Consider the following 9,728-nt stretch of genomic DNA (forward strand, 5'->3'; position numbering starts at 1 on the left):
TTCATCTATTTATTCCTCCCTATACCTCTATACCACTAGCAACCATTGATCCTTTACTTCTGTATAGTCTTGCCTTTTTCAGAATGTCATGTAGCTGGAATCATACAGTAGCCTTTACAGATAGGCTTCTATCATTTAGTAATGTACTTTTAAGTTTCATACATTTTTGGTGGCTTGATAATTTCTTTATATAGCTAAAAAAATAATCCATTGTTTTGATGTACCACAGTCTGTTTATCTATTGAAAGTTATTTTGTTTGTTTTAAGTTTGGGACAGTTATTAACAAAGGTATTATAAAGACTGTTATGCAAGCTTCGATGTGGATATGTTTTCAACTCAGGTAAATACCTAACAGAATGATTGATGGATCATATGTAAGACTATATTTAGCTTTGTAAGAAACTGCCAAACTCTTTTCTAAAGTGGCTGTATAATTTTGCATTCCCATTGGCAATGAATGAGAATCCTTTTCGCTCAACATTTTTTGCCAGCATTCTATATTTTCAGTCTTGCTTTTTAAATAGATTTTAGCCATTCTAAGGGGTGCTTAGTATTATGGTGTCTCATTGTTATTTTAAATTGCAATTCTCTAATGGCATATGATACTGAGCATTTTTTTTCATATGCTTATGTGCCGTGTCTGTCTGTTAGATATTTTGTCCATTTTCAATTAAGTGGGGTCTTTTCTTATTGTTGAGTTTTAGGAGTTCTTTGTATATTTTGAATATCACTCACTTATCAGCTATGTGTTTGGCAAATATTTTCTTCCAGTCTCTGGTTTATATTTCTATTCTCCTTACAGTGTCTCATGGAGCAGAATTTTTAAATTTTAATAAAGTTCAACTTACCAAATTTTTCTTCTGTAGATAGTGCTTCTGGTGTTGTATCTAAAAAGTGATTACCAAATTCAAGGTCAACCAATATTGGTCACCAAATTCAACCTAAATTTTTCCCATATTATCCTCTAGAAGTTATATGATGTTGTATTTCACATTTAGGTCTATGATCCATTTTTAGGTAAATTTTGTAAAATGTGTAACATCTGGTCTATTTTCACCATTTTACATCTATTCTAGCACCACTTGGTGAAGAGAGTCTTTCTTCCCTTGACTTGCCTTTACCCCATCAATGATGAGTTTGCTATATTTGTGTACTTTTCTTCCTGGGCTCATAATTCTATTCCATTATCTAACTGTATAGTCTTTCATCAATACCACATTGTACTGATTCATACTGATAGCTTTATCCTAAATCTTCGGGTAATATTAGTTTTACCACTTTTTTATTGTATTAGCTATTCTGGATCTATAATATTTTCATATAAACTTTAGAGTCAGTTTGTCAATATCTACACAATAACTTTTTTTGTATTTTATTGAAAGTATAATGACTCTATAAAATAAAGTCAGAAATAACAGGTACTTTAACAATATTGTCTATCTACCCAAAATATGGAATACAGTTCCACTTGTTTAGTTCTTTATAAATTTATTTTGTTAGATTTTTGTTGTTTTTCTCATATATGTCATGCATATCTGGCTAGAATTACACCTAAGTATTTTAATTTTTTGGTGCTAATATAAAGGATATTGTGTTTTTAGTGTCAAATTCTTTTGTTCCCTGCTGGTATATAGGAAAACAATTGACTTTTGTATATTAACCTTGTATCCTATAACCTTGCTATAGTCACTTATTAGTTCCATGAGGTTTGTTGTTGTTGATTCTTTGGCATTTTCTACATAGTATCTGAGAATATAAAAGTTTTATTTCTTCCTTTTCAATTGGTATACATTTTACTTTCTTGTTTTACTGGATTATCTACAATGTTGACTAACACTGCAGAGAGGGAGTGTCTTGCCTTATTCTAAAGGTGGAAATATTCTTTCCTGCCATTAAGTATGATGTTAACTGTAGGCTTTTGTAAATTCTTTAAAAAATCATGGTTATGAAGTTTCTCTCTATTCCTAGTTTACTCAGAATTTTTATCATAAATATGTGTTGGAGTTTATCAAATTCTTTTTCTGCATCTGTTGACATATATGATTTTTCTTCTTTAGCCTGTCGACACGATAAATTTCATTAGTTGATTTTTGAATGTTGAATCTTTTTATACTTGTAATATATGCTGCCTTGTCATGTATAATTATTTTTGTACATGTTGGATTTGATCTGCTAATATTTTGTTGAAGATATTTGCACATATGTTCATAAGAGATTGGTCTGTTTTTTTTACGTTCTTGTAAACACACTTTTATTTGGTTTCAGTATTAGGATAATGCTTGCCTCAGAATAATTTAAAAATTATTCCATCTGCTTCTACTTTCTGGAAGAGTTGCCATGAATGGGTATAATTTCTTCTTTAAATGTTTGGTAGAGTTCATCAGTGAAAACTTCTGGGTCTCTTGCTTTTATATTTATTGAATTTTATTAGAAGTATTCTGCTATAACTTTTGAGATGGCTATATAACTTTTCACATATAGTTTCATATTGACAGATTATCAGGTATTTACCTATTCTTGCATGCCTAATTAACCTCTACATGATTATAACATGTCACACTATTTGCTAGTATTTTTTCATCTAAGTAAATTAAACTTGTTCTATAGTTATTTTATTAGCTTGCTATCTAGTTCTGATGTTAGTATTACAGAGCTTCATAAAGTTTGCACTCTACCTTTTCAAATTTTTGAAAGTTTATATAGAATAGATCTTATCAGTGCTTCGAAATTTTAGACATTTCACAAGTAAGACTGTCTGGCTACAGTAACCAAAACAGCATGGTACTGGTAACAAAGCAGATATATAGACCAAAGGAACAGAACAGAGACCTCAGAAATAACACCACACATCTACAACCATATGATCTTCGACAAACCTGACAAAAACAAGCAATGGGGAAAGGATTCCCTATTTAATAAATGGTGCTGGGAAAACTGGCTAACCATATGCAGAAAACTGAAACTGGGCCCCTTCCTTACACCTTATATAAAAATTAACTCAAGATGGATTAAAGACTTAAAGGTAAAACCTAGAACCATAAAATCCCTAGAAGAAAACCCAGGCGACACCATTCAGGACATAGGCATGGGCAAAGACTTAATGATGAAAACACCAAAAGCAATTGCAACAAAAGCCAAAATTGACAAATGGGATCTAATTCAACTAAAGAACTTCCGCACAGCAAAAGAAACTATCATCAGAGTGAATAGGCAACCTACAGAATGGGAGAAAATTTTTGCAATCTATCCATCTGACAAAGGTCTAATATCCAAGATCCACAAGGAACTTAAACAAATTTACAAGAAAAAAATACCCCCATCGAAAAGCGGGCAAAGAATGTGAACAGACACATCTTAAAAGAAGACATTTATGTGGCCAACAAACATAAGAAAAAAGCTCATCATCACTGCTTATTAGAGAAATGCAACTCAAAACCACAACGAGATGCCATCTCACGCCAGTTAGAATGCTGATTATTAAACAGTCAAGAAACAACAGCTGGTGAGGCTGTGGAGAAATAGGAACACTTTTACACTGTTGGGAGTGTAAATTAGTTCAACCATTGTGGAAGACAGTGTGGTGATACCTCCAGGATCTAGAACGAGAAATACCATTTGGCCCAGCAATCCCATTACTGGGTATATACCCAAAGGATTATAAATCATTCTACTATAAACACACATGTACACGTATGTTTACTGCAGCACTATCTACAACAGCAAAGACTTGGAACCAACCCAAATGCCCATCAATGATAGACTGAATAAAGAAAATGTGGCACATATACATCGCAAAATACTATGCAGCCATTAAAAAGGAGGAGTTCATGTCATTTGCAGGGACATGGATGAAGCTGGAAACCATCATTCTCTGCTAACACAGGAACAGAAAACCAACTACTACATGTTCTCACTCATAAGTGGGAGATGAACAATGAGAATACATAGACACAGAGAGGGGAGCATCACACACCAGGGCCAGTCATGGGGTGGAGGGTAAGGAGAGGGAGAGCATCAGGACAAATACCTAATGCATGCGGGGCTTAAAAACCTAGATGATGGGTTGATAGGTGCAGCAAACCACCTTGGAACATGTATACCTATGTAACAAACCTGCAGGTTCTGCACATGTAACCCAGAACTTAAAGTAAAATAATTTTTTAAAAAGTTAAAAGTTTTAGTGCATTGTGAATTTTAAATCTATTTTTTGAAATAATTTTTATTTTTATATTACTATATGAAATTCTTTGCATAGAATTTCTCAAATTTATTGACAAAAACTTTTTCATTATACATAGACACACACACTCTCTCTCTCTATTGTGTCTTCAATTATTTCTCCTTTTTTGATGTTGATCCACATATTAATGGATTATCCCATAATTTATTGGCCTTTTGGCTAAGATCAAGTATAGCATCTGTTCTCATCAGTTTAATAAATTATTTTTTGTTATTACTTTATTTTCCTAGTCAGCCTTGCTAAAGACTGTTCTATTATACTATCCTTTCTAGAGAATTTATCCTTGGTTTGGATGACACTCAGGTATAGATCGTATATTTATTATATTACATTTTATTAATCTCTGCTCTTATACTTATTATGCCCATTCTTCTATTTTCTTTGGCTAATTTTTGTTCTTTTAAGTTGCCTACATTAGATTCTTAGTTCATGAAATTTTAATTTGTTCTTGTTGAAAACACAAATGTAATTATGGTTAGAAATGTTCCAAAGTTTTGTTATGTGAAATTAATGCACTCATTATCATTTAATTCTTTTGTGTGAGTGTGTGTGTGTGTGTGTGTGTGTGTGTGTGTAACAGAGTTTCACTCTTGTTGTCCAGGCTGGAGTGCAATGGCAGAATCTCGGCTCACTGCAACATACCCTCCTGGGTTCAAGTGATTCTCCTCCCTCAGCCTCCCGAGTATCTAGGACTACAGGCATCCACCACCACATCAGGCTAATTTTTTATATTTTTAGTACAGTTGGGGTTTCGCCATGTTGGCCAGGCTGGTCTTGAACTCCTGACCTCAAGTGATCTACCCGCAACAGCCTCCCAAATGGCTGGTATTACAGGAATGAACCACCACACCCGGCCCATTTAGTTCTATTTTTCAAAGTATATTTACTTTTTTCCCTCAAAAGCCTGGCCTTTCTTTTTTAGATAATTGTAAAGTTTACAACATATAGTGTTTTCTGGCTATATTTGTTATTGGTTCATGTCTCATTTAGCTGCATTATCTCAAGTAACACTGTCTGTAAAATATTTATTTTTGAAATGTCTAGAAACATCATTGTGAAGAAGTACATGTTCTTTATTTGTAAATATGTTATTTGTATATAATATGATGGGTTTTCTATATTAGGCTTCAGATATTTACACATTTCTATTATACGAGCATTGCTCAAATCTTTATTTGTATTCTTGTTTTCTTTATCTCTTGTTTTTGTTTTGTTTTGTTTTGTTTTTTGAGATGGAGTTTCTCTCTTGTTGCCCAAGCTGGAGTGCAATGGTGCCAGCTCGTCTCACTGCAACCTCCATCTCCTGGGTTCAAGCCATTCTTCTGCCTCAGCCTCCAGAGTGGCTGGAATTACAGGTGCCTGACACCATGCCCGACTAATTTTTTGTATTTTTAGTAGAGAAGGGGATTTACCATGTTGGCTAGGCTGGTCTCGAACTCCCAACCTCAGGTGATTCGCCCACCTCGCCCTCCCAAAGTGTTGGGATTAGAGGCGTGAGCCACTGCGCTTGGCCTATCTCTTGATTTTTATTAAAAATTTATTAAAATCTCTCCCATGACTCTGAAATTAACAATTTATTAATTTTTTCAGATTTGACTTTTAAATATCAAAAGCATGTAATTAGATATAGTCAAGTTCACAAATGATATATCTTTTTGTAGATTCTTCATTTGACTACTATGTTGTAATCTTTATCATCAATTTTGTCTTATATTAATATTGCAACATTGGAATTTTTGGCTAATGCTTCCCCATCCTCCCACTACACAGACTCTTTGGATTTTTCTTATTATCAATTATCTTCTTAAACAGTTTTTTTCTGTAAGAGTCTAAAAGTCAAAATTTACTTAGTGTTTTATTACTCACAAATACATCTTTGTTGTTTCCACTCATGGATGACAGCTTAACTATCATAAAATACTGCGTTGTCTGTTTCCCCAAATGTAGACAATATCGTGTTAAGAGTATTCTGCCATTCACTGTTAATGAGAAGAAAGTTTTCAATCTAATTATCATTTTTTAATAGATAATGTCATTTCTCTCTGATACATTTTAACATTTTTATTTCACTTTTAGTTTACTATTATACACTCATTTTTTAAGTATGGTTTCATATTTAATTGATTGGCTTGGTACACAAAGTTTACATTTGATTTGGGGACTTACAATTCCTTCAATTATACAAGATTCTAAATTATCATCCATTTAAGTATTCCTTTTTCTTCTTTTGCTCCTTTTTCTTCTTCTGTAATTTCTTATGAAATTACATAATTTTCTTCACTTTACTTTGAGTAATTACTTATGTAATTACTTCTTATGTATGGTGTATTTTTACTCAATCCATGTGACTTGCTTTGTTCAATGAAATTTGAGTAAGATTGACAAGTGCCACATTCTAACCAGAAGTATTAAAAGTGATAACATGGTTTTATCATACTTTTTATAGACATAAGATCAATAATGTCTTACATATGAGTTAGTCTATCAACTTGGATTGCTGAGGAAGGAAAACATGGACAAACTGACTCTCAATACACATGTTCTGTGAATGAGAACTCAATGTTTATTATTTTTATTGTGAATATTTCAGTCAGTTTTACTTAGGTGTAAATTAGTTAAATCTGACTTGTAAACACCAATGAGACAAATATTAAAATTTCTCAATCCATCCTCTTTTAAATCTTCCTCTCTGTATATTTTTATCTTTTTTTCTTTAGAAGAGTTCCTCATTAACTACTAATCTAATTTTTCAGTGAAAGTCTATATAACAAAGTGATGGCATACTTCAAAGAATTTAATTAAAGATATTTAATGGGTCAGGCATTTATAGAAACAAGGAAATGTCTAAGGAAATTATTAAGATATGGTGAAACACCCAGTGAAAAGTAATAGCAGGGAGGTCTTACTATCTTAGGCCTGAAGAGACAAGGGAAGGCAATGATTTATTGGAATCAGTAAGTACTAAAGCTGTGAAAGAAAGAGAAGCCCATCAAAGCTATAAGCCTAGTCACAGAGGAATGCAAGCATTGCCAGACTGTTAGGAGAGAGTGGAAGTACAGACAAAAATGCCCACTCTTTCTGTCCTAATGGCTTTCAATCTACCCCCTAACTTTCCCTGTGTCTGAACCCAAATCCAAGGGAAACTAAAACTCCAGATTATATAATCCACAGAATTAAGCCCTAAAAGCATAGAATATGAAAAAAATGGCAGATAATTGATCTAGTTTTGGGAGCATAGTGAAATAAATAGTCAGCACATTTTCCATTTTCTCTTATTGACCAAGTCCAATAAAGAAATTATTACATCTATTAACATTTTCATTTAATTTTCTTTTTTATTAGGTGACATTTTAGGTTATAAGGAACAGAAGCTGAATGTGTGGGATTAGACCATTGTTAAAAGGACAGTGGGTAGATGTCCAATTTTGCTATTACAAAATAATTCATGCTTAAATAACGTTTCTGCCAAAACAATTATAAAAGCAATGCAAAATACATAAAACACCCATTCAAATGCATTGTAGATCAGCCAACACAGGCATAATATTCTCCATAATCACTTTTGATTAGAAATTAAGGGTATTTGCCAATTTTAAGTCTAGGACAACAGAAAATGAACATAAAGCCCCGATCCACCTGTGTTGAGGAAACAGAGGTTTGCAATCTAGTATTTCTAAGGGGCTAGAAATGGAGGGAAGGAAACTGCTGAAAACTGAACCCAAAATTTTGTACGAAACTTTTCTTCAGAAAGTTTGAATGCTGAAGATGCCCATAGGAAAGACACACTTAAAAAAAAAAAAAAAAAAAAAAAAAAAAACTATACAAACGAGAAACACCAGAAAGCAGCAGCTGGGATGCCAAAGAGCTGAGCAGAAGTTTTTTTTTTTACAGCCGTAGAGCTCTGAGAAGACAGAAGTTTGTGTTCATGACCTACCAAGAGACTCTGGTAAAAGCCTAGGCTTTCAGCTGAGGTCTTTGAAGGTTTATATCCTAGAAGCAAAGAAAAGCTGAAGTACACTAGCCGTAACGTAGGCTAAAACCTAATCTTCACAGTAATAATGTCATACTTCAATAACAACTGCATGCTCTTAAAATGTTTTCTTATAAACTGTTGCTTGCAAGGAAGAATAAAGTCAGTAATATCACTGTGGAAAAATCAGACAACACCTTAAGAGAATGATCTAAACTAATTCAGCAGTGAGAGACAGATGGAAAATATGTGCCTCCAGATGTGATATGCTGGGAAAGACATAACATCATCTATGCAGTTTTTCAAGCAAGAATGCATCAAGAAAAAAACAAATCAGGAACTTTTATTAATAAAGGTTGAAAGAGCTGTATTCTTCAACAATATTGTCACAAAAGGCAAAGTAAAATTGTAGAAATGTTCCATAATTTTATAAGTTCAAATGGCATGATCACTAACTGGTTTCTCACCCTAGACTGCCACTTGTACTAGAGGGAAGACATGACATTATAGAGTGAGCTGACAAAATTAGAGTAGAAAGAGTAGATTAAATACAAGTATTATAAATAATGATAATGTACTGCATTGGGTAACTGTACTTTTAATAGGTAATATAATATCTCTATTCATAGGAAATAGACACTGGCGTATTTAGGGACAAAGGGCTATAATGTACCTCAACTACCTTAAATGGTTCAAAAAATATGTATATATTATAGAGACAGTGTACATGCTTTAAATAATAAAATGAAATAAAATATTAACATTAAGTTATACCAAATAGAATACGCAAGTGTTCTTTGAAGCATTTTAATTCTTAAATGTTCTTGTAAGTTTGAAATCACTTCCAAAAGTTTTAAAAAAACAAATAATCTAATCTATGACAGCATTAAGAGGAGAGAATCCATAAGATTGATTAGGTGTCAAAAGGCTTTAGATAAAACTCAGCACCCATTCAAGATAAAAAGTGTTGGCATTCTGGGAGTAGAAGGGATATTGCTTGATCTGAAAAACTGTATTTACAAATCTCTGCAGCTTACGTCATATTCACAGGTGAACATACACTTCTCCTCTTAGATTAGGAAAACGACAAGGATGACCACTGCCTCTACTTCTATTGAACTTTTGTTTGTTTGTTTGTTTTTTGAGACGGAGTTTCGCTCTTGTTGCCCAGGCTGGAATGCAATGGCGCAATCTCAGCTCACCGCAACGTCCCTCCCCAAGGTTCAAGTGATTCTCCTGCCTCAGATTCCCGAGTAGCTGGGATTGCAGGCATGCACCACCATGCCTGGCTAATTTTGTATTTTTAGTAGAGACGGGTTTTCTCCATGTTGGTCAGGCTGGTCTCGGACTCCTGACCTCAGGTGATCTGCACACCTTGACCTCTCAAAGTGCTGGGATTACAGGCATGAGACACCACACCCAGCCTATTTAACATTTTACAACAAATACTAGTTAACAAAAATAAGAAGAATAGCAATTATACATAAAGTTTGGTTAAAAAACCAAACCAAACAACA

At 33.4% G+C, this 9,728-nt stretch overlaps 1 pseudogene; it reads left to right on the forward strand.

Moving 5' to 3' along the window:
- Positions 1-4,380: 4,380 nt before the first annotated feature.
- Positions 4,381-4,560, forward strand: LOC124903122 (uncharacterized; annotated as a pseudogene).
- Positions 4,561-9,728: the final 5,168 nt, after the last annotated feature.

Source organism: Homo sapiens, chromosome 12 (genome assembly GCF_000001405.40).
Source record: "Homo sapiens chromosome 12, GRCh38.p14 Primary Assembly".
Classification (NCBI taxonomy): domain Eukaryota; kingdom Metazoa; phylum Chordata; class Mammalia; order Primates; family Hominidae; genus Homo; species Homo sapiens.